The sequence below is a fragment of the Homo sapiens genome, chromosome 6 (assembly GCF_000001405.40).
Source record: "Homo sapiens chromosome 6, GRCh38.p14 Primary Assembly".
Taxonomy (NCBI): domain Eukaryota; kingdom Metazoa; phylum Chordata; class Mammalia; order Primates; family Hominidae; genus Homo; species Homo sapiens.
Genome location: NC_000006.12, coordinates 106,197,127 through 106,224,258, shown reverse-complemented (window position 1 = coordinate 106,224,258; position 27,132 = coordinate 106,197,127). Strand labels below are relative to the sequence as shown.

At 35.2% G+C, this 27,132-nt stretch overlaps 1 protein-coding gene across 10 annotated transcripts in view; it reads left to right on the top strand.

Annotated features, from left to right (window-relative positions):
- ATG5 (autophagy related 5) overlaps nucleotides 1-27,132 on the top strand; it is a 141,285-nt gene that overhangs the window by 101,502 nt on the left and 12,651 nt on the right. For 9 of the 10 annotated variants that reach the window (NR_104403.1, NR_104402.1, NM_001286111.2 and 6 more), the window contains one exon: nucleotides 22,170-22,287. Coding sequence is in view for 8 of the 10 variants with exons in the window: in NM_001286107.2 (NP_001273036.1) it covers nucleotides 22,170-22,287 (118 nt within the window). In the remaining 2 variants the exon portion in view is untranslated. Of the gene's footprint in view, nucleotides 1-6,657; nucleotides 6,796-22,169; nucleotides 22,288-27,132 lie in introns of those variants that run through there. The other variant, XM_047419573.1, reaches the window with a different exon arrangement.

Here is a 27,132-nt window from a genome sequence, read left to right as displayed (position 1 = left end):
TTTATACTGATATTAATTTGATGTTTCCTAAAATATAGCTAGACTGCAACCAAATAACACTGCATGCTATTCCCCTAAACATCTTTGATCTTTTATTATCTGACTCTGTTAACTCCTGGGAATAGCCTTGGCTCCCAGAGTGCTTCTAAAGTTACTTCAGATGTCACCTTCCTCAAGAAGTCTTCCTTGATTTCTTCACATATGCCCCAGCCCTTCATATCATATAGATGTTCTTTCTGCGAAGTCTGTTTTTGAAACATTTCCTTCTACCTTTTGTTTTGACAAATGTAACTGTGGAATATTAGAGCCATAGAGGCTGGAAGAATTAACTAATTTAACCTCCTCATTTTGGGAATAAGACAGCTTCCCCAAAACTGACTTGTACATTGTTTAGCTTATTGTTTGATGGCAGAGCCAACAGTAGAACTTGGATCTTAGATCTTCAGCCTTGTTCTTTTTCTATAGCAAACATAATATCATAGAGGATATCATGAGCTATTTTTAAATATTTCACCATGTATGTAGTTTCTCTGTAAGCAGTAAACTATTAATTCCTCAAGGACAAGGATTGTTTCATTTCTCTCTGTATCTCTATAGATGGTTCTCAGAGACTGTTTCCTCCTATAGTGAATGCGTGAATGATAATCATCTGCTTTAGCATTAATATTGTTAATGTAAAACTTGAATCATATTTCCTACTTACACACCTTTTAAAAGAAATAGGTAAATTGAGTCCTGTAGGGGGCAGCCCAACACAGCAAGTTTTGATTGCCCTAAGCTATCTACTACGCTGAGATTGAGACTTAGGCAATTTAGGCTTAAATTGCTTCCTATGTGGATTTTTGAAAACTGAAAACAACTATTAATTATAAGCTTATTTGGCAGATATGTTTTTCCCCTTCCTCCTCCAGCTTTATTGGAATAGTTTAAAATTACATTTCTATTTTCTAGGACTTCAGTTGCTTTTTCCAGCAGATATATTTTAAAACAATTGTCATGTTATAAGAGTAGGAACTATTTGATGCAGATGATTTGCCATTTTGTTTTTAAAACATAAGATGAGAGCAAAAGTTATGTATTAGAACTTTTTTAGGAAATGCTTTATTTGTTAACTTCAAAATAACAGATCATCTGATGGCAAATTATTTGAGTTATTTATAGCTGGGGAAATTAAAATATGCAAAGTGTTATCCCAAACTACTAAAGTTATTATTAAATGAAATCAACATTTTCTCATTATGAATTTATTTACTAAGCTAGGTCATTGTTTTATTCAATATTTTTAAGATTAAAAAATATTGCTGGTAATGAAAGTAAAGTTTAGATGAATAATAATAGCAGCTAACATTTATTGCGCTTTATTGAATACCAGGTACTGTTTTAAATTATTTTACATGTATTTATTTAATCCTTATTGTCCTCTGGGTTAAATGCTGTTACTGTCCCCTTTATATACCTGAGGTAATTGAGAAAAAGATTGGTCATTGAAACTTGCTCAGGGTTACCTACCTAGTAATTAGAAGAGCCAGGATTTGAATCCAGGGAGTCCAGTCTGGCTTTATAGCCTATGCTCTTAATCATTATTACCTTTCATATATTAAGTTCATTACTTTTATTTTTTATGCCTCTTCTGTCATAACTTTTTATGATTTGAGACTGTTCTCCAGTTTTCACACACATCAGGCTTCTTATTACTCTTCCTTTTCGGTTGCTTACTGCCCTCAGTCCATTTTCTTCTAATAAAGAAAGTGCATGCACAGAAAGTAAAAACATAATGTTCTCCCCTTAATATGAAGAGATTGAAACAGCTAAAATTCTGGAATTTTACAGAAAGTTATTTTCCTAATCATCAATTAGGAAATTTTTAGTGATCACATTAAAACATGAAGTCTCAAACTTAGGAATAAAATAACTTCAATTCCCATGCTCATGCATGTAGTATATGGGGTAATTTTAGAAGCCAAAATAGTTAATACCTCATTTTGAAAGATAGATTGTGAATGATGCAGTTTTAATTATTTCACTAAAAATGAGTTTTCTTTACCTCTCTCCACAAATAAATTCTTGGTTATAATAAGACACTTTAGGCCAGACGCAGTGGCTCACGCATGTAATCCTAGCACTTTGGGAGTTTGAGACCATCCTGGCCAAACTCATGGTTTAACGTGGTGAAACCCTGTCTCTACTGAAAATACAAAAATTAGCTGGGCAGGGTGACGCACACCTGTAATCCCAGCTACTCAGGAGGCTGAGGCACAAGGATTGCTTGAACCTGGAAGGCAGACATTGCAGTAAGCCATGATTGCACCACTGCACTCCAGCCTGGGCAACAGAGCAAGACTCTGTCTCAAAAAAAAATAATAATAAGACACTCATATTTTTATTATGCTAGCCTAATATATGTAAAAATTGACCTTACTGACTTACTATTTTCTTTCTCATCCTCACCTTTTTATGATTTCATCTCTCCTTAAGATGTCTTTGGGAATATAAGTAGATATAGTAAACATAAGTTGGACCTCAAGTGATCAGTTTTGATTTTTTTTTCTTTCTTTCTTTTTTTTTTTTTTTTTGAGACAGGGTCTCACTCTGTCACCCAGGGTGGAGTGCAGTGGCACGATCTCAGCTCACTGCAGCTTTGATCTCCCAGGCCCTGGTGATTCTCCTCCCTCAGCCTCTCTAGTAGCTGGGACTACAGGCGCACACCACCAGGCGCAGCTAATTTTTGTATTTTTTATAGAGATGGGGTTTCACCATGTTGCCCAGGTTGGTCTCGAATTCCTGGGCTCAAGTGATCCGCCCATCTTGGCCTCCCAAAGTGCTGGGACTACAGGTGTTAGCCACCGTACCCGGCCTCAGTTTTGACATTTGATAAAAGTTTAGGTTAAATGTGAGATGGCTTAAAATGTTATAACTGTTGAAAATAGAGCTGTTCTATAGCTAATTATTTGATAGTATTTATATCACAAATAAAATCTTAATGTACAGCTCTTAGAAGAAAATATTACAAAATGTAAGTCTACTGCCTGGTTTATATTATTTTTTAAAGGACCTCAGATTACAGTTGATGTTAGAATTTCTTGGAAGAATTGTCAACTCTGATAATATACGCCAGAGGTAGCCTATACCTTAGAATAGTTAGAACCTTGCTGCTGCTTTAATGATTGATTTCAGTCCTCCCATTTTTCATTGGTTGACATGGGCTTTAGTTTCCTAATTTACTGCTGGCATAATACATTCTTGGTAGTTGCAAACTTCAGCTTAGTTCCTGTCCAAAGAATGTTTATTTCTTCAACTTTACTATTGGATATTGGTTTCTTTATGTCATTAGTGCATTTTACTTTCAGTCCCTTTCCATCATAGAGAATGTCGGCATCCAGAATGATGCCCCTTAGGGTGATTATTGAGTCTGCTGACAATTTCATGGTGTAAGAAAATCTGCTTAATCACTTACCTATTTCCATAGTGAAAACTACCTTCTAATTTTTTTTTCTGTTCTTCTCATAAGTGATTTTCATGTAACATGCCAGAATACACAACACCTGTCTGTTAAGAACAGAATTACTAGGCTTTGATTCTTGGTAGTGGTTCCTTCTTTTGGGTAAATATGAGAGTTGCTTTTGGTCTAATTACTCATACTTTTAAAATAACTATTTGCTAATAATTTTAAGTAGGTAATATATAGGGTTATCATTAAGGAATATTAGAAGAAAAAATCAATTTAAAAATACAAAGACTAATGTCCTATCTTTATTTCTAACCTGAGCCTGGGTAATTTTGTTTGACATTTCATATCAGGATATCATACTCATTAATGAAGTATACGCCTCAGTTCTTGTGTGTGATGCCTGTTTTTTGGTTTTATTAAATTTTCAAGGTTTTTTGGGATTTTATATTATACTTTTGCTTTGCAGTGCATGCAGATTGTTTGTAATAATTAGTGCTAAGGAGATGATATAAGTACAGTTACGTATTGTTGTGTGCATTGATTATATTGATATTACATATTGATACAGATATTGACATATGCATACTTGAAACTCCTGAAATCTTTAGGCAAGTTGCTTCTTTTGCAGATTGCTTATGGTATATTAAAATGTAATTCTCAGCTTAGAAATATAATCTAGCATAAACATTCAGTTGTATCATCTGACTTTGATATCTTGGGAGCATTTTACAGAATATGTTCTGTCTTCAACAGTATGTACTTCTCAATGGTTAGCTTTTTAAAAAAAGGCTATCAATTTAAAGGAGGGTCAATATTGGTTCAGAGAACCACTGTTATATTGCTTGGAGGGGATAAGCAGGTTGGTAGAGGTCGCTTATCAATGGAATGGTGAGTTTGATTATAATTAAACAAGATTGGATACACATTTGGAAACCGTATTTGAGTAGACCATATGTCTATCTTGGGTGTAATCTTTTCATGAAAGTCACCTGTCTGCATGTATATGTTGTGACACAATTATGTGAACAACATAAAATTATACTAGTTGTGAAATAATGTGAATCCTGAATTCACTGAGTGATTTATATATAGCCATCTGTCGATACCTCTGGGTGATTAGTTCCAGGACCTCCCTGGGTTACCAAATTCTACTGATGTTTGAGAGTCTGATATAAAATGGTGTAGTATTTGCATATAACCTATGCATACCCTCTTGTATACTTTAAATTATCTGTAGATTACTTATAATATTTCATACACATGTACACACTGTGAAAATAGTTGTTATACTGTAGTTAGGGAATGATAACAAGAAAAAAAGCCTGTACATGTTTGGTACAAAAACATTTTCGACCCATGGTTAGTTGAATCTGCAGATGCAGAACCCCTGGATAGGGAGGGCTGACTGTGTTAGATGTGTGGCTGAGTTAATGTGCATGAAATTTGGAATAGCCAAACTAATGTATGTTATACTTATTTTTGAACTTCATTTAACCATGTTTTACATCATATTGAACTTTATAACATTTGCAAATAGAAATGACATGAAATATAGAAAATTGACGTATGTTAAGAAACAGCTTGTTTTCAGAGCTGAAGACCCGGAAATCCAATGTAGTACTTACTCTTAACATTTTGTCTAAATTTTCCAAGCATAGATAAGAGGAACATAGATTATTTCATAGTTATAAAACAAAAGAATTTATTCTGCTCGTTTAAAATTTGAAAGAAATAATATATTTCAATAGGCCTTTCTGTCCTTGTGTTCTTTCCTCCTTTTCTCTTTTCTTTCCTTCTTCCTTTTTTTCTTTACATTTTTCTCCCACTTTTCCTCCCTCATAGAATCCTTCCTTTTCTTTGCTTCAGTAATCTAAAAAGTATTTTTACTACATAGTAGAGCATTTCCTATTTTAATTTAAGTTTTGAAGTTTTCTTTTAAAAGCAAAGCTTTGCTAAAGGGAAAATACCTGTATTAACTTACATTTAAAGTTTTTTTCATTATGCCAAAGGTAATTATCTGTTACTTCTAAGAAGTAAGTCATATTCTGACTCTGCATACATGTTTAAAGTAACTTAGAATCAGCTTGGGACAATTCTGACGTCTGCTTATGTATTGCAGCATTCATACTCTTCACTAGGTGTTCATTTTAGCTGCGGATGCTTCATATAAAACAGGGTAGAGTGGCTTTCAAAGGATCTACACATCAAAGTGTAACTTGAACTCTGATTTTTACACTGCTTGAGGAATGCTTAATGGAGTAGAACTAACAAATTTACTTTTGGCCCAACCATTATTAGAGTTTTTAGTCCTTTTTACCTACATGCCTTTCTAAGCCATATCACATACAATTGAATAGTTTTGTTGCTTTAGAGTGTTTTTAAAATGTTCACGTTAAATATTGTGATTCATTTTTCCTTTAGTAAGGAAGATTTCATTTAACTATGATTTCTGGGGAATGAGGCTGCTGCTTTTGGAGCCTTAAATAAAATTATTTGAATAAAACACCATATTTTAAGTTAGAACACCACACTCTTGCACTCTTTTCTATAGTTTGGTTGATAGTTATTCATGAGGCCATGTTTATCATCTTTTAAGACCTGGTTCTGAAGAGGGATTTAAAATAAGTACAGTGATTATAGCTTGTAACTACAGTATACCCTCTTTTGCTAGTGAATTCTTTGACACAGAATGCTCCTTACTCAACCCCTTACCAAAGTCTCTTTTGCATTTCTCAGATGGATAAATTGTCACCTAAATTATACAAGAAGCACATTAATATTTGATGTATACTATTTTCTTAGAACCCTGTTTAATAATCATAAGTTAAGCCTGCTATATATTAAAATGTTTATACTATTTTAAAACTTCCATTGTGGAAAATAAGCATATAATTTGACTTGATGAATTGGTGGTATTATTATTATCTCAATCTGAAATACTGTTGGGATGTATCAGCCTACTTTGGATTCAATAGACCATTCTCTCTTCAGATATTGTATTCCAAAATTTTGAATTTTTTTGTGGAAATAGGTACTTACATTGTAAATAATAGTTAAGTTCCTAGGACAAGCCATATAAGTAATAGTGAAATAGAACTATAAACTCTGACCTGGATTTATAACATTGTTCTTTTGTAATGCCAGATTCTAATTCAGAAATCTATAAAAGGAAGAGTTCCCTTACTATGGCGTTTCTCTTCCCCATTCAGGTCACAGCAGTGTGGGTGGGAATCCAGAGGTTCCAAGCTAGTGAGGAAGAAAGTGAAGATGAGGAGTTCTTGGCTACCCTAACTGGTGGCGAGCGTTCTGGAAAAGCTCGCAAACAGTGGACGCAGTGAGTCCACAATGTGGGTAGCAATTTGTTAGTAAGGACATTTTTAATGGTCCCATATTTGATACTTTTATTTCATATTACTCCTTATAATGAAATTATGTATTTTAGTAAACCTTTTTAAACTAGCATATTGTAATTTCAAAACTTTTCAGCTTCATTTTCAGTATCAGAACATGAATATTAAATGAGTTTTGGTGAACAGTTAAGACAAAGTTATTTAAATTCCTACAGGTAACTTAAAATCACCATGATGCTATACAATTTTTAAGAAAAAAACTTGTAATTTTTCTGAATTGATAAGGTAGAAATGTATCTCTGATCTTTGTTGTTTTGGGGTTCTTGACTTTAATTTTTTTAAAATTTGTTTTTATGAAATATAATTTTTTTAAAAAACCCACAAAATGCATAAAACAAACATAAGGTATGATGCATAGGTATAAATCAAATACTGATGAAGTTAGCCATCATCCCAGAATGATTTCCCCTGCCACCCATATGATAACTTTTTTTTTTTTAATAACAGCTTACTTGAAGTATAATCTCAATACTACAGAGGTCACCCTTTTATTTATTTATTTGTTTATTTATTTAGAGACATGGTCTGTGTTGCCCAGGCTGGTGTGTATGGTGGCTATTTACAGGTATGATCATAGTGCAGTACAGCCTGGAACTCCTGGCTCAAGTGATCCTCTTGCCTCAGCTTCCCAAGTAGCTAGGACTATAGCCACTATGCTCAGCAAAGGTCACCTTTTAAAGCATGCTATTCATTGGTTTTAGGAGTCACTGAATTCTAAGTTACACAGAGTTGTGCAACCATTCCCGTGATAAAATTTCAGAACATTTTCATCACCCTAAAAAGAAACCCCATGCCCATTGGCAGTCACTTATATCATTCCCCCTCCCTCCAGCCCTTGGCAACTACTAATTTATTTCTCCCTTCTGGACATTTTATGTAATTAGCATCATGTAATATATGGCCTTTTGTGTCTGGTTTCTTTTGCTTGCATATTGTTTTTAAGGTTCATTCATTTTGTAGCATGTATCAATACATCATTCTTTTTATGGCCCAGTAATAGTTGTATGAAGATACCACATTTTGTTTATCAATTCACCAATTGATAGACATGTGGATTGTCTCCACTTTTTGGCTATTATGAATAAAAGCTGCAGTTAATATTTATGTACAAATGTTTTGGTGAACATATATTTTCATTTCTCTTGGGTAGATACTTAGGAGTAGAATTGCTGGGTTGCATGGTAATTCCACGTTTAAACCTTTGGGGTATTGTCAGACTGTTTTCCAAAGCATCTGCACCATTTTACATTTCTACCATCAGTGTATGAGGAGGGTTCCAATTTGTCCACATCCTTGCCAACGCTTATTTTCTATAGTTTTAATTACAGCAGTCTTAGTGGGTATGAAGGAGTATATCATTTTGGTTTTTGCTCTTTCCTAATGACCAGTGATGCTAAACATCTTTTCATGCATTTAACTAGCCATTCGTATTTCTTAGGAGAATTGTCTTCAGATCCTTTGCTCATTTTAAAATTGACTTCTTTAACTTTTTATTTATAAGTTTTACAAATTCTTTACATATTCTGAATAGTGGTCTCTTATCAGATATGGTTTGCAAATATTTTGTCCCATTCTGTGGGATTTATTTTCTTGATGATGTCATTTGAAGAACAAAAGTTTTTAACTTTGATGAAGTCCAGTTTGTCTGTTTTTTTCTTTGGTTGCTTGTATTTTTAGGTTGCCGTATGTAAGAAACCATTTCCTAATCCAAGGTCACGAAGGTTTCCTCTTATATTTTTTTTAAAGAATTTTATAGTTTTACTATGTTACCTTTTTAATATATTTTTAATAGTATTCAAGTGCTATGTTTTTAAAATTTGTTGATCAGATTACGTAAGTGGTGAAATCTGTAAAATATTTATCACTTGCCTTTATTTGCTACTTCTAAAAATTTCAAAAGAATTTTTATGAAATTTCCCTTTGATGTTACTTTAGTAGAATAAATTTTTAAAAATTATTTGTGTTAGAAACAAAATAATAAATATTCCCATGTTATAAACTTTAGCGTTCACCACAGAACCCATAGACCATTCCTTGAGGGGTGAGGGTAGGTGAGACTGTTTGAAGAGCTCCACTAGCTCCTAGCCCAGGTTTAGAATCACTTTTCCCTGGGTTAGACACTTAACTGGGCATCAAGAGAACAGAATTTCACTTTTGAGGTCAGCACAGCTGCTTTTACTCAGACATTTCTTCTTGCTATTTTGATTTCTTTGTTTATACTAATTAAAAGTGTTTCTTAATTATTTTATGTAAGTACACCAAAAGGATAAAACATGTTCATATGCAGAAGTGCCCTTTGATTCTTCAGAGGAAAATAGTTTATTAATTACATTCTTTTTGTATTAGTCTTTTTAGTGTGGCTTTGGGTAGAATTAGCAAAGATATTTTAAAGCTATTATATATAATGAAATTTAAACTATACTTCCCTTGGTATGATTTTTCAGATCTTTTGGGAGAAAATTTTAGAGAATTTACCTAATTATTACTAAGAATATCAATCCTAGCACTTTTATATGAAGCTTCTTTTTTGGCTAGTCTACTGATAAGTTCATATAAAAATTTAAAAGCAATACCATTTGTTCTGTAAATGGGCTTATAACAAGCATCAAATTGATCTCGATCCCAAGAAAGGGAAGTATTACTTCTCTGTACCACACGTTATTCAGTCAAAGGATACGAAGAGGAAACAAAGTGTTGCGCTTATTTGAAGAAAATTTGCCTCAAGTGTTTGTATGACAAAGTACATTTGGCACTGTCTAGACAGAATTATAATAAGTATAACAATTTAAATAAGACAAAACATAAACTCCAAACCAGATTGTGGATATAATTCTGATGGATGCTTTTATTTAATCATAGTATCAATTAAGAAACTTCTCCTTTGGAGATTAAGTGTCCCTGACTATAATAATGACAGCTTTTCAAATGTTAATTATTATTTTTTAGTGTTGTCAAGACTATTAAAAGTGGGCTTCAGACTCTCAACATAAGTACAGAAAGTGCTTATTTTCAACTCTCCTATTTCTCTACATAAAGGATAAAAGTAGTCTGATAAGTGCTACAGACTCCCACCCACTCCCCTCTCTGTTCCCCCTCTTTCTACCACCAAAAGACTGTTTACTGTAAAGCTCTAAAAGCATTCATTTGGAAATGGTCTGTTCTTTTTATTTAATGAGGTATTGTATATTGTGTACATTCTTAAGCTAATTTTAATGAATCTTCTTTTGAAAACCATGTGATGTAAAATTTGATATGCATGAATATATCTTAAGCCAAATATGCATGGGACAGTTGAAGCAGATATCATGTGTCATTGTTGGTAAAGTCTGGCAGCATATCCTGTGTAAACCCCTGTTTTCTTTTTCTTTGTGCCACATAATATTTATTCTCATTAACAAGACTTCAAAGGAAACTGAAGTTAGAATACCAGTTATTTTTTATTCTCTCTTAATGGGTTCTGTAACAACTAAATACTGTTACCTTTCTTGGTTCTACGTTTCACAATGGTTCAAGAGAGGAATGAAAAGAACTAGTCATTGTTAAGCACTTGTTACATTAGATATTTCATATATCTCATTTAATTATCACATCAATTGTTCAAAGATAAGTTTTCCTCATTTTTCAGATTCAGAAACAGTACTCCCAAAGGTTGATGTAATTTGCTCTAGATACACAGTACGTTGTTGGGAGTTGGGATTCCAACCAAACCTTTGTTATTTCCACTACATTTGACATTCCAAGCTCTATATGCTATGGCCTTTAGTCCACTTTTCTCTCCTTATCCACTGATTTCTCAGAAGTACCATTATATTCAGTCTGCCCTCTGAATACTCAAATGACTTTATCTCTTTCTCTATTTAAAAAAAAATATGTATTTCAAGCTGGAAGCTTGAAGACCTTCTATATTCCCTCCATTATTTTTATCTTCTTTTGAAATTCTCTACTGTTGTAATATTTTACTTTCTACCACAATTAGCATATTTTACTTTGTACCTACTGATATAGCTTCCAACTCTTAGAAAATGAAATTAACCAGTTAGGATTGTTTTGGTTTTGCTCTAAATGCCAGTAAGTCCAGAGTTAAAATTTGTGCTCAAGCTTTGTAATTTTTTTCATAGTGCTTTGTACATATTTCTGTTATCACATAACACTGTATTACAGTTGTTTGCATGTTATTTATCTTTGTATCCATTAGCATAGTGATACCCTGGTAAATGCATAGTAAATATGTAATGAATGAAGATTTCTGATAAAATTTATTCCTGCCTTCTGATCATTACTTAGAGATCCTGCACTTGGGTACTACTATTAAGATAATTCTATCCAGGCTACTTATATGTTAGTAGTAGTAGTCGTTGTTGTACCTATGCTTTTGTTAAACATAGGTAAAACCAAAGCTTTTTTAAAACATGGACAGGAAATAAAAACAATATTCTTTGTTGTAATTTGTTTATATCATTGTAGTGCCTATTACCACTATTACTCAACTAGCAGCTACTTGATTCTCTAAAGTAATGTACCATAGTATGCTTGGGGTTTTTTTGTTTTTGCTAAAGATCTATAAGAAAAGTTTTATTGCTATTCATCTTTGTCACCATTTCAGCAATGAAGCTTCACTAATATTTATTATGTAATATTTTCAAAAATAGTAAGTTCGGTTCATTATCTCAAAATTGTGTGTCAAGTGAAAATATACTGATTTGATGGCCCTAGTAATTGCCAATAGGGTTTTTTGAGTTTTGTTTTGTTTTGTTTAATATACGGAGTCTCGCTCTGGGCTCTCGCCCAGGCTGGAGTGCAGTGGGACGGTGTCAGCTCACTGCAACCTCCGCCTCACAGGATCAAGTGATTCTCCTGCCTCAGCCTCCCGAGTAGCTGGGATTACAAGCACCCGCCACAGCGCCCGGCTAATTTTTGTATTTTTGTTAGAGACGGGTTCACCATATTGGCCAGGCTGATCTCGAACTCCTGACCTCAGGTGATCCGCCCGCCTTGGCCTCCCAAAGTGCTGGAATTACAGGCATGAGCCTCTGCACCCAGCCATCCAATAGGGTTTTTAATTTTGGAAGGTAGCTTTTGGGCATGAACAAGCACACTCATAGTTAGTTGTGTTTTATTAGAGTTATAAATTGTAAAATCTAGTTTTTCTAAAATGCCTTTTCAGTTCAATTAATGCTACTTAGAAATTTAGTAATTGTTGTACAAAAATGAGAGCAGTCTTTTTCACTTCTTGATATTTCCAGAGTCCATCCCTTTTCTAGATTTAATTCTTAAATAACACATAGTACTACTTATATAGTTAGGCAAATCTAATTATATTCTTGATTAATCAATAAATGAACTTTGCTAATTCCAGTTATAGTTTAGTATAGCTGATTTTTTAAGCACCTGCAAATATAACAAGTGAAATCCTGTGATACACTTAAGCAACCCTTGTAAATCAAATAAATTTTACTTATAAATGTAGTAAATCACCATCCTGTTTCAAAAGACTTAAAAACAAAGCACACACACAAAGTAGCTGATGAATAAAAACTTGTTGCTATACCTTGAAAAATACAACATACATAAATTATCAATATAATATTTGTTTCTTCAGCTCAACCAAGAAGACTAGAATGTCCATCTAAGCCTCACTGGAGCAAATGATATTATGCATTCAGTTTACAGGGATTTGGGTCTTTGGGAGATCCTGAGCAGTCTCACTCTGTTGCCCAGGCTGGAGTGCAGTGACATGATCTCAGCTCACTGCAACCTTTGCCTCCCAGGTTCAAGTGATTCTCCTGCCTCAGCCTCCTGAGTAGCTGGGACTACAGATGCACGCCACCACTCCCGGCTAATTTTTTTTATTTTTAGTAGAGATGAGGTTTCGCCATGTTGGCCAGGCTGGCCTCGAACTCCCGACCTCATGATCCACCCGCCTCAGCCTCCCAAAGTGCTGGGATTACAGGCGTGAGCCACCACGCCCGGCCTGTCCAATCTCTTTTTAAATAAACTTGAGCCCCTTGTCATTGTTACATTCTGCCTGCTGTGTCCGTAGGAGACTCCCCCAGCACCTCCATCCGTGCTTGGCTTTTAATTAAGGCCATTTTAAGTTTTACAACCCAGTGCATTGTGCATCTACTGGGCATCTGTTAAGTTTCACCCCTTTGGTTATTTTATGTTTTTCTCTTTCATAGCTTTTTATCACTTTGTTTCAGTGAATAGAATCTCCTTTTACTCTGATGGCATTCTTCCTCCTCTTTATGGACATTGACTCCACAGTCAGTGAGCCAGATATATACCCTTCTAGCCATAAATGGTCATTTTTAATAAACCAACATTTCTAATAATTCTTAATGTATGTAAAACAATATGTATGACCAAAACAACAAAACTGACACTAGTAATAACATAGTAACAGGGTTGACTACAAGAATAGTATATGTTATTATAATCCTTATTTTTTTTGACAGCTCAATACAGAATACATATTAGAATTCAGTAGAGTTCTGTTGAGAGTCAAGTCACATTTAAAAAGAACAATTATAACACTCATTGAGAATTCACTGTGCTAGACATTGTTCTAAATACTTTATATGAATTAATTGTATAACCTTCACAAAAAAATCTATGAGGTATATACTGTTAATATCCTCATTTTATAGATGATACAATTGACACACAAGTAACACAAGAAGGTTTAAGTATTTGACTAGGGTCATATAGGTACTAATTGACAGAGCTGGGATTGGAACCATAAGCTGAATCCATCGTCATCAAGTGCCATCCAGAGCTAGAATATGTGTCTTCTGACTGGCTTTAAATATCATGCTCTTATTACTGTACCAGGCCATAAATTATTTGAAATACGAAGGGTCAGTTTTGGAAATAGATGTTTGTGACTAGGAAGTATGAAGAGTAAAAGACTCTAGAGCTTTTCTCACTATAACTGCCATTATTAGTATTTACTTAGACTACATTCATTTTTATACTTTTTAAAGGATTTTCATTATGTGCTTAGTGATTTTAATTCTGATTTTGGTTCTTATAAGATTTATACATTGTAATAATTACCTTTGCTCTGTTATAGTATATATTATCTGCCTTTTAAAGATCTCCAGTATTATAAACATTACTTTTGTTTTGAGCCTTAATTGACTGTTCTGGGTTTTTCAGCCAGGATGGAGAAAACATTTCATCAGGATCACCTAAGGGGCTTTTCCTGCTACCTGAGTCTTGAGTCCCCACCTTTCCTCACTCATTTGTGTTGAGAGTCACTGTCCAACCGAGCAACTGTTATTGATGTGAATTTTGTTATGGCCTTCAAGTGTGTTAGAGTAGGTTGAAAGGTTAAAAGTCATTGTTGTAGACTAGTGCTTCTCAAACTTTAAACATGAATCACTTGGAAATCTTGTTAAAATGCGGATTCCAATTCAGGAATTCCAATATGCAGCCTGAGAATCTACATTTTAATAAGATCCAGGTGATAACCAAAATGCTACAGGTCCTCAGAGAAAACTTTGATTAACAAAGCTCTAGACTAGTTGTTTTGAAATTTTGAAAAAAATTTTTATTTTGAGATAATTACAGATTCACATGCAATTGTAAGAAATAATACAGAAAGATCTACATACCCTTCATCTAGTTTCCCCCAATTCTAACATCTTGCATAATTACAGTACAGTATCACAACCAGGAAATTGTATTAATATAATCCACAAACCTTACTCAGATTTCCTTAGTTTTACATATACTGTGTGTGTGTATTTAGTTCTATGCAATCTTTATCACATATGTAAATTCACCCTATATTCAAAATATACCCGTTTCAACAGAAGGATCTCTTAGGCTACCCTTTTATAGCCACAGCCACCTACCTTACTGCATTTCTTCCCTAACCTCTGACAACTACTAATTTGTTTTCCATTTCTAAAATTTTTGTCATTTCACTAATGTTATATCAGTGGAGTCATGCAGTGTGTAACCTTTTGAGATTGACTTTTTTCACATAACATAACTCCCTTGAGATCTATCCAAGTTGTTGCATATACCAGTAGTTTGTTCCTTTTTATTGCTGAGTAGTATTCCGTGGGACAGACCTATTACAGTCAGTTTATAAGCATTCACCTGTTTTAATGGGTAGCCCTGGGATTGCTTTCTGTTTTTGACTCTCACGAATAAAACAGCTATGAACGTTCATGTATAAGTTTTTTGGAGAAGACATTTTTACTTCTGGGAATATTCAAGAGTATAATTACTTGGTCATATGGTAAGTGCATGTTTAGTTTTGTAAGAAACTGCCATACTCCTTTCCTGAGGGACTGTACTGTTTTGCATTTGTACCATCAGTGTGTGAAGGACTATTTTTCCACATGCGCACCAGCATTTGGTGTTACCACTAATTTTTATTTTGGATATTTTGGTAGGTGTGTAATGATATCACATTGTGGTTTTAATTTGCATTTCTTTAATGGCTAATGATGTGTGAGATATGTTTTCATATGCTTATTTGCCACCTATATATTCTCTTTGGTAAAATGTCTGTTCATGTCTTTTGCCCATTTTCTAATTGGATTATTTGCTTTTTTTAAAAACTGTTGAATTTTGGGAGTTCTTATATATTATAGACACAAGACCTTTCTCGGAAATATGGTTTGCAAATATTTTCTCCCAGCCTGCGGCTTATGTTTTCATTCTCTTCACAGGATCTTTTGCAGAACAAAAGCTTAGCTGTTGTTGTTGTTGTTTAATTTTAATTAAGTCTATTTATTAGTATTCCCTTTTATGGGTCATGCCTTTAGTGTTAAGTTCTAGGCTGATTTTGAAAGTAGTGTTAAAATGACTTTGCCCTTTTTTTTTTCCTTGCCATATAGAAAAACATTAAAACGTAAACTTCTGAATTTCATGATTCTGGACTTTTTAGCTTACAAACAACTGAAGAGTAAATGAATGAAATTAAAAGGAAATAAAACCTTGAGTGAACACAGTTTGCATAGTATTAAATTAGACTATGCATTACAGTGTTCTAAAACTAGTGGCCCTGGTGATGGTATGTTTTAAGTTACAAATTGTTATGTGTCAGAATTGTGTTGTGCATTTTATTATCTCAGAAACTATAATGTAGGTATTATCTCCATTTATACATATACATATGTGTTTACACAGATGTATATATACACATATGTGTTTACACAGATGTATATATACACATATGTATATATTCCTGTTTTGCAGTTGAAAAAACTGAGGTTCAGGAAAGATAGGTAGTTGTGTCCATGGTTCCATAATAAATGACAGAAACAGGACTTGAATCTAATACTCTTTTTTGAGACAGAGTCTTGCTCTGTTGCCCAGGCTAGAGTGCAGTGGCGCGATTTCGGCTCACTGCAACCTCCGCCCCCTGGGTTCAAGCAATTCTCCTGCCTCAGCCTCCCGAGTAGCTGGGATTACAGGCACGTGCCACCATGCCTGACTAGTTTTTGTATTTTTAGTAGAGATCAGGTTTCACTATATTGGCCAGGCTGGTCTCGGACTCCCGACCTCGTGATCCTCCCTCCTCGGCCTCCCAAAGTGCTGGAATTACAGGCATGAGCCACCACCCCCAGCCGAATCTAATACTCTTTAACAACTGGCTGGCATCTTTTGTTGCATCATGTAACTGTATATAACTCATAGGACTCAAACCTGATTTAAGTTTGTGATGATCGTGCCTGTTACTCTTAAAGTCCATACATTGTCTGATTTTCAGCTTATAGTAAATCATCATTTCTTGTTTTATCAACGTTAATGTTAATATTGGTTAACCTATTGGCTCTACTGGCTACATTTGAAATAGAGACTTTTTCTTTGCATTTCATTTCTTTCTTTCTTTCTTTTTTTTTTAAGAGATGAGGTCTCTCTGTGTTGCCCGGGTGAGTCTCAAACTCATGGGCTCAAGCTCTCCTCCCACCTCGGTCTCCTGAAGTGCTGGGATTACAGGCATGAGCCACCATTTACAATATAGCTGTAACACACATTATTTATAAGAATTCTAAGTTTTACACTTGAACTATTTAAGAAAATACATAAGGTTTCCTAAAATGTTTATAAGTTTCGTTTTTCTGCTTTTCTTCAATATATCTCTGAGCTATATCAACACTGTAAATTTCCCATATAAGAAAAAATGATTGCTGTATTGGTGAAGGCACATGAGTAGAGGAGAGATGGGAGCAGCCAGCCATTACCACCTCAGTTTTTCATTTCATTTGGTGTTAAGAAATGACTAACATACATTTGAAAAAGTAACAAGGACAGTTTCAAAGGTGACTTACATCATGTTATTTCTCATGAGAGTAATACTGTTTCTTGGAAGTTATTGAAATACTTTGCATATTTACAAATATGTGGCAAGATCAGGTATTGTGGTATATTCCTGTTTGCAGTGGCTTTCTTGTCTGTCAACCTAAGATTTAGATTGCATTGGATATTGTTAGTCTTGTCTAATTTTATATATACTAAATCAACGTTTACAGCATTCCTATTTGTGGAGATTTAAAAATATTTCTCAGTATAATTTAGTCTTCTTTGCAGAGCTCTAACATCGGGCTAATGAGAGCTGTTGAAAAGTTTGCAGGAATATGTCCTCCATTCCCATTGCCCTTAAGAACCTCTGTACTTGAATGCATGATCTCTCTATGGGAGCTTTTATTTTAAGGGTAATTGTCTTAGTCCATTCCATTTGGGCTGCTATACCAAAATATGTTAGAGTGTGTACTTTTTTTTTTTTTTTTTGAGACAGTTTCCCTCTTGTTGCCCAGGCTGGAGTTCAATGGCATGATCTTGATTCACTGCAACCTCTGCCTTCTGGGTTCAAGTGATTCTCCTGCCTCAGCCTCCTGAGTAGCTGGGATTACAGGCGCCCACAACTATGCCCAGCTAATTTTCTGTATTTTTAGTAGAGATGGGGTTTCACCATATTGGCCAGGCTGGTCTTGAACTCCTGACCTCAGGTGATCCACCACGCCCAGCCTAGACTGGGTAATTTATAAACAACAGAAAATTATTTCTCACAGTTCTGGAGGCTGGGAAGTCAGAGATCAAGGCTTCAACAGATTCGGTTTCTGGTGAGGGCTGCTCTCTGCTTCAGAGTTAGCACTGGTTGCTGCGCCCCCACCCCCACCCCCCCAACATGGCAGAAGGGGCAAAAGCCTTACAAGCTCCCTGGGGCCTCTTTTATAAGAGCATTGATCCCATTCTTGAGGACTCTGCCCTCATGACCTAATTACCTCTCAAAGGCTTCACCTCTTAATACTGCCATGATGAGGAATAGGTTTCAGCATGAATTTTGGAGGGACGCATTCAGATGATAGAAGTAACTAACTCCCCAAATTGAGTATTTTTTTGTCGTCCTGATTGACTTAGGTACTTAATTGCTATTTGCTAGCACACTAAATTTTTAAGAATAAGAATATTACGTTTTTAAAGGTACTGTATAATAAATATTAAACAGAAAATGTTCATCAGATTTTTGGTTGGGGTATATTGAGTTTTTGTGTTTTAAAATAAGATTTTCATTAAATGAGAAACAACACTTTGCTGAGCATTTTCTTGTTTTTACCATTCTACAGCGTTTAGCTACACTATGTAATAGCACTGGGGCTTTGTCCCCAGTAAGCAAATACCTCATCATAAAAGATTGTTGAAGGTTATACCTTTATAATACTTGCTCAGATTTGGGAAAGGGTGAAAAAAAAGATATATAAAAATAACAGGATATTTCTCCAATAGTGAGGTTAGAGAAGAATTTCTGTTTTTTAATATGTAACCAAGACTAGTTGGCCTTTCCTGTTTAGCATTTTTTTTCAGGTAATTTTTAATCTTTTAGTTTTAATTATTATGGATACATAATAGTTGCAATTATTTATGGGGTACATGTAATCTTTTGCTATAAGCATGCAATGTGTAATGATCAAATGAGGATATTCACCACCTCAAGCATTTATTATTTCTTTGTGTTAGAAATATTCCAGGTAATTTCATTATAGCAAAGCCACCTCACATTTCATACACTAATTAGGATATGAATGAGAGCTCCAAATTCTTGAAAAGATTCCTTTGACTTTGTTGTTTTCAGGTTGGACTGCGGGAGGTACCTTCTGACTTTTTTCTTTGAGTTGTGGGTACAGTCCTGCTGTCTTCCTTTTCCACTGCACCAGCTCCAGTTGTCTTCACATAAGCTTGCTGTATTCAGTCAGCCTCTCACCAGTCATTCTGGTTTTGGTTCATAACCAAGTCACCATACATAGCACTGCTTTCCATTAGTCGTCAGAAAAAGCCTTTCACCAACATTACTTCCTTTGCTAAAAAGCATTAAAAGCTTCTTCATGGCCTGAAGATCAAAAACCCTGAGTGAGGGATGGCTATTTTAAATTATCACTACAGTTCCCTATTCATTTCTTTTCTTCTCTGAACTCCTCAACCTTATTATCTTTACACAGTTAATCACTTGATTATGCATGATATTGTTCTTGGTTTCAACTTGTATGAGAAAGTATGGCTTTTTAAATTGAAGAATGTATTAGTCTGTTTTCACTCTGCTTTAAAGAAATATCTGAGACTGGATAATTTATAAAGGCAAAAGGTTTAATTGACTCACAGTTCCGTATGGCTTGTGGGGGCCTCAGGAAACTTAAAATCATGGCAGAAAGGGAAGCAGGCACCTTCACAAGCCAGCAGGAAAGAGAGATGAGAGTGCAGGAAAAACTGCCACTTTTAAAACCATCAGATCTCATGAGAATTCACTCAGTATCACGAGAACAACATGAGGAAAACCACCCCTATGACCCAATCACCTCCCTCCCTCGACACATGGGGATTACAGTCCCTCCCTAGACGGGTGGGGATTACAATTTGAGATGAGATTTGGATGGAAACACAGAGCCAAAACATATCAAAGGATATCAATCATATTTTTAAAAATAATCCCTAAAGAGTTCAAATAGTGAAGTGAATTAAATCATATTCAATGCATATTATCAAGATTTTTTAAAAATTACAATTTTCATACTTGTCACAAACACTCAAATATATTATTGGATTACTATTTTAAAATACTATGTATTCAGTGAATACATAAACATAGAATTAGGAAAGGCAGCTCACATGCTTACATGTTTATTTTTTCTACTTATTTTTATTTATTTTTTCATTTTGTATTATACTTTAAGTTCTGGAATACATGTGCAGAATGTGCAGGTTTGTTACATAGATATGCATGTGCCATGGTGGTTTGCTGCACCCATCAGCCCCTCATCTACGTTAGGTATTTCTCCTAATGCTATCCCTCCCCTAGCCCCCTACTCCCCGACAGGCCTTGGTGTGTGATGTTCCCCTGCCTGTGTCCATGTGTTCTCGTTGTTCAGCTCCCAGTTGTGAGTGAGAACATGAGGTGTTTGGTTTTCTGTTCCTGTGTTAGTTTGCTGAGAATGATAGTTTCCAGCTTCATCCATGTCTATTTCTTTTTAAACCAAATCTCTAACAGTTGTGTCAAATATGTTGAGGTATACCTCTGTCATTAAAAGACAAAAACAAAACCTTGTCGCTAATGCCTAAGTGTTTGAAGTCATATTCTTATAAAATATGAGGCAGCCTGGGCAACATAGTGAGACCCCCTTCTACAAAAAAGTAAAAAAATTAGCTGAGCATGGTGGCTCACACCTGTAGTCCCAGCTACTCTGGAGGCTTAGGTGGAGGATTGCAACTTGGGGGTTGCACCACTGCAATTCAACCTGGGTGACAGAGTGAAACCTTGTCTCAGGAAACAAGCAAACAAAAAATATGTATGTATGGCATTTCTCTGTTCTTGTTAAGTTTTAATGATTTTTCATCTCAGAAAGCTTAAAATTTACCATCTTAAAGTGAAATAACCGTTAAGAGGGAGAGAGGAGGTAAAAATGCTTTTATTCTCTTTAACATTTATTTATTTACTCTGTGGTTGGCAAAGTTGCTCATTTATTTCCACAACAAACTCAAGAGATATGGAATGTCCCAAATTAACAGATAAAGGAAACTGGGTACAAGATCATAGATCTTGCAAACAGTGGTGCTCTTCATAGACACTGGCTCATTTCAGAGCCTCTGTACTCTGTCATGATAAAGCCTCCATCATCACTAAGGAAATTTAGTAAATGAAACAATTTTAAGAGTAAAACAATGAGATTATTAGCAATAAATTACGATGTAGTGCTGCTAACAGTTTTTGTCAGATGAAATGGCTGGATCTGCTGTTTTGGAAATTGTGAAACCTATCGAAAAGTTGAAATAATGAAACTACTAAAATCATACACCCTCTACCTAGAATCACCATTAGTTAATATTTTTTTATTTTTGCTTTGTCTTCACACACACACACATTCTCTGTCTCTCTCTTTCTCTCTCTCTCTGTCTCTCTCTCAACCATTAGATGGTTAAGTTTTGGGGCCAGGAGCGGTTGGCTCACGCCTGTAACCCTAACACTCTGGGAGGCCGAAGCCGGCAGATTGCCTGAGCTCAGGAGTTTGAGACCAGCCTGGGCAACATGGTGAAACCCCATCTCTAGTAAAAATACAAAAAGTTAGCTGGACATGGTGGCGCACTCCTGTAGTCCCAGCTACTTGGGAGGCTGAGCCATGAGAATCACTTGAACCTGGAAAGTAGAGGTTGCAGTGAGCTGAGATCGCGCCACTGCACTCCAGCCGGGGTGGCAGAGCGAGACTCTGTCTCCAAAAAAAGAGAAAGAAGATTAAGTTTTGGATATCATGGCACTTCTTTCCTAAACACTTGAACAATGAATTTCTTAAAAATAAGGATTGTCCTTATTGTACCTAAGAAATTTGACATTAACTCAATAATATTATCAGTTGTCCATTCTGTATTTCCCCATTTATCCCAAAACTGTGTTTCATAGTTGGATTTCTAAAAAATGTCCTTCTTCAATTTAGTATTCAGCCATGGTTTATGTTTTGTATTTGCTTTGTTAGTCTCTTTAAGAGATACTGAGAAAAAATGCTTTTGTTGATATCTTTTTGTGTTGTTTGCTTTTTAATGTCTTTAAGTTTTTGAAGGGTCCCAGCCAATTATCTTTAGAATGTCCCACCCAACTTTGGATTTGTCTGTTTCCTCAGAATTAGATTTACCTGAATTTATCATGTTAAACATTTTTCACAGTGATACCACATCTGTGATGTTGTGTAATTATGCTAACACCGTATCAAAAGGCACCTAATGCCAACATAAAGTTTATGATATATAAATTTGTAATTGGCAGCAACAAAGACTTAATTGCTTGAATCATTTTTTCCTTTTTCAAATAGACAACGACTGAAAGACCTTTCATTCAGAAGCTGTTTCGTCCTGTGGCTGCAGATGGACAGTTGCACACACTAGGAGATCTCCTCAAAGAAGTTTGTCCTTCTGCTATTGATCCTGAAGGTAATACAATCAGCAACATTAAAACATTTCTTTCATTTTCTGTTACTGAAGTAAAATAAGCATTCCACATTTATAAACAACAGGTTATTTCAGGAAGATATTTTCATATCTTACAGCGAAAAGTCTTTTCAAACAGAAGCACCTAATATTTAATATATTATTTTGTAAATTATTGACTAACAAAATGATGACTCGACTGGCGAAATAAAATACAGTTTTTAAATCATCCTCTTAGTATATCTCTGGTACTCTGGTTTTTAATTTATGGATTCAGTTCTGATAAATACTACTTTTAATCTTGCATTTTGTTTATTAACTTTAAAGAAGTCAGAAATGGTAAAAATAATTTTCTCATTTTTGATATTTGAAAGTTGATAATACTGAAAAATGGATGAGTATTTTATTTGAATTTTCTACTACTTTCTACTTTTTCAGTTAACCTTTTTCTTTTAGGCTTTGACAATCTACAAGTTCGTTCAAAAACTTGACCTGTTTCATGGCGCTAATTTTGTAACTTAGGTTAAGGCTGTTTTCCTGCAAGCAAGGGACAAATTTTAAAATTTCTGAATTCTGTTTTTCTTTATTACAACATAAAGAACACCAAGAAAATGCAGAAAACAATAAAACTGCCCATAATCCATTAACTGATAGAGACCACTGTTGAGACACACACACACACACACACACACACACACATATACACTTGAATACTTGAGATATACATATGTGTATAATACATACACATTGGCCCTTCATATCCATGGGCTCCCCATCATGCCCACAGCAGATAAAAAACATTTGGGAAAGAAAATGGATGATTGTGTCTGTACTGAAGATAAACAGACTTTTTTTTCTTGTTATTATTCCCTAAGAATACAGTATAAGTATTTATATAGATTTACATTGCATTAAATATTACAAGTAATCTAGAGATGAATGATTTAAAGCACACATGTGCATAGGTTATATGCAAATATTATGCCATTCTATATAAGCGACTTGAGCCTGGGTGGATTTTGGTATCCTCAGGGATCCTTGAACCAATCCTTCATGAATACCAAGTGACCACATTGTGTGTGTGTGTGTGTAAAATGTCCTGCTGCTCTTGAATCCCAGCCCTATTAATGCTTACTAAACTATAGGGGAAATTTTCAGTGGCATATTACTGTATTGACATAAAAATTGCATAGAGTTGGTCGGGTGTGGTGGCTCACGCGTAATCCTAGCACTTTGGGAGGCCAAGGCGGGTGGATCACGAGGTCAGGAGATCGAGACCATCCTGGCTAACATGGTGAAACCCTGTCTCTACTAAAAAACACACAAAAAAAATCAGCTGGGCGTGGTGGCGGGGCGCCTGTAGTTCCAGCTACTTGGGAGGCTGAGGTAGGAGAATGACGTGAACCCACAAGGCGGAGCTTGCAGTGAGCCAAGATCATGCCACTGCACTCCAGCCTTGGTGACAGAGTGAGACTCCGTCTCAAAAAAAAAAAAAAATTGCAGAGTTGTATTTATTATATAATAGAAATTTTTTTTAAAAAACTTTAAATCCATGAAGGAAACAGGTAATGCATTAGTATATATGAAGGTAATACTTTAACAGATAATGCTTGTTTCTTACGAATGTATTCTGAATTGGAGGAATGCAGGATTACTTGCATGACATATACCACACAGTTCATGAAGCATTTTGCATCTAAGGAAATAGTTTGCCTAAGTAGTAGAATTAGGAACAGTGGGTTTGGTGGTAATGTTGTGGTATTCCAGCCTAAATGACTAAGCAAAGAATATGGAGCCCAAAATATGTGTCATTCAGCCTGAGAATATTGCAATTTTCCTTAGTCAAGTATGCTTGCTTATACTAGCATTCCTACATGTATGTAATGCTTTAAAAATGAACAGAGGTTCATTAGGAAGGGGAAGGGCACCTACAATAATACTGTCAGAACCAATGCCAGAAAGGATTGAAGGAAGAGACCACTGACTACCCAAATTATTAAAACTGAACAGGATTTAAGAGGTTATAAATACATTTTATAAAGTCTTCCTTGAACTTTACTAGCCTTTATAGTAAGGTTTCTGATGATGTCTTACACACATCCATGTATCTCTAGTGCTAGGGTAAATGTTTGCCAAACAATCCAGTTACTGAATTCTTTCTATCATTACCATGAAACATATTATTTACGATCATTAAATCTTGGAGCAATTAACATTAAGTTGATTATAATACTATCTTAGACTCCTAATCCATCTTTACTACTGTGTAATTTTAGCTTTCAATAAGAGTTTTAGTTAAATAATTTTTTTATAATTTAATGATTTTTTAGTAAATTTATAGAGTTGTGCAACCATCACCACAATTTGGTTTTTAGAACATTTCCATCTCCTTGTACTTACTTGTAGCTAATCTCTGCTCCACTGCCAGCTATAAACAACCACTGGTCTGTTTTCTGTCTCTATAATTTGCCTATTATATTTCACATAAATTGAACCATACAGCATATAGTCTTGTGCAACTGTTTTTTTCCACTTAACATTATGTATTTGAGTTGCATCCGTATTGAAGCAAGTGTCCATAGTTTGATTGGTGAATAATACTCCATTGGGTAGATACATCACATTTTGGTTCTCCCTGTACCAGCTGATGGGTGTTTGGACTGTTTCCAGCCTTTCACCTTTATAAACAGAGCTGCTAGGAACATTCAAATATGGGTCTTTCTGTGGACATTTGTTTTCATTTTTCTTGGGTAGCTTCCTAGGGGTGGAATGACAAGGTCATATAGTAAGTTTATTTTTTATTTTAAAAGAAACTACTGAGCTTTCCCAAAGTGGCTGTACCATTTTACAGTCTCACCAGCGGTGTATAAGGATTCCAGTTTCTCCACATCCTCAGTCACATGTATTGCCATCCTAGTGGTATCTCATGATGATTTTAATTCTCATTTTTCTAATGGCTAATGGTATTGAACATGTTTTCATGTGCTTATTATAATTTGTAGATCTCTTTGATGAAGTGTCTATTCAAATCCTTGTTTTTTTTCATGGATTGTTTCCTTATTACTCAGTTTTTAGCATTATTTATATATTCTGGATACAAGTTCTTTATCAGATACACAATTTGCAGATATTTTCTCCTAGTCTGTGACTTGCCTTCATTTTCTTTCTCTCTTTCTCACTCTCTCTCTTTTTTTTTTCCCAGACAGGGTCTCGCTCTGTCACCCAGGTTGGAGCGCAGTGGTGCAATCTTGGCTAACTGCAACCTCCACCTCCGGGTTCAAGTGATTCTCGTGACTCAGCCTCCCTAGTAGCTGGGATTACAGGTGCCTGCCACCATGCCTGGCTAATATTTGTGTTTTTAGTAGAGACAGGGTTTCACTGTGTTGGCCAGACTGGTCTCAAACTCCTGACCACAGGGGATTCATCCGCCTCAGCCTCCCAAAGTGCTGGCATTACAAGTGTGAGCTACCATGCCCAGCCTTGTCTTCATTTTCTTTTGAAGGATAAAAGCATTTAATTTTGGTGAATTCCTGTCTATCAAGTTTTTTTTAATGGATTGTGTTCAGTTAAATAACTAAAACTTTTTTTCTTATAGGCAATACATTTACATATTTTAAAAATCAAAGCATATATAAAGGAATTTAGTAAAAAGTCTCTTTCCTAACTACCTGTTCACCAAACTCTAACCTGGTTCCCCTTTCTAGAGACAACCAGTGTTGCCATTTTCCTGTATATCTTTAGAGATAGTTAAGTAAACTTTTTATTTTTGAACTCAGGCTACAGAAATTTTGCCTTAGTAACTCATAACTTCTGAGAAATTCCCAGAAATTCAAGAATAAGCTTACTTTTTTAGTTCATTTTCTCTGTTATAAGGGTGTTTGTTTTTGATCTATTTAATATCTATTTTTGTTTTTGAGGATTTTGGAATATAGATGAGTTATTTTCATTTGAAGTGTAATGAAGAGGTTAATCGTTTTTATTGCTGATAGAGATAAACCCCATAAACCTCTTACCTGTCCGTGGCAGCACTGGCTTTCAGTTACTCATTTCTCTGTATTGTGTTTTTTTCCCTTTTTGAGTACTTTGTAGTAGTACTTTAAAGAACATTAAAAACTAGATGCTGTGTTAGTCTGTTTGTGTTGCTATAAAGAAACACCTGAGGTTGGGTAATTTATAAAGAAAAAAGGTTTATTTAACTCACAGCTCTACTGCCTGGAGATTGGGCATCTCATGAGACCCTCAGGCTGCTTCTGCTCATGGTGGAAGCTGAAGGGAAGTTGGTGTGTGCGGTGGTCACATGGTGAGAGAGGAAGCCAGAGAGAGCAGGGTGGTGCCAGGCTTTTTATAATAACCAGCTCTTGTGGGAACTAAAACAGTGAGAACTCACTCCTCCACACCCAGGGAGGGCATGAATCTATTCATGAGGGATCCACCCCCGCCCCCCCCACCCCAACCCAAATACCTCCCATTAGGCCCCATTTCCAACTTTGGTGATAAAATTTCAACACGAGGTTTGGCGGGGACAAGCAACCACACTATAACAAATGATTTTATCAATTAGGAGTAAATGAAATTTAAGCCAGAGTTTAATATTTGAATAACTACCTTTTTTGAAAACAAAAGGCAGGGTCTCACTGTGTTGCCCAGGCTGGTCTTACATTTCTCACTCAAGTGATACTCCCACTTTAGCTTCACAAAGTACTGAGATTATAGGCATGAGCTACTGCACCCAGCCTCAAATGACTACCTTATTGCACTTTTCCTAGATTTTTTTCGACAATCTACTTTTTAAAATATGTTGTTTTAAACTTCCTTTTTTATAACATCCTTGACTATAGAATGAGAACA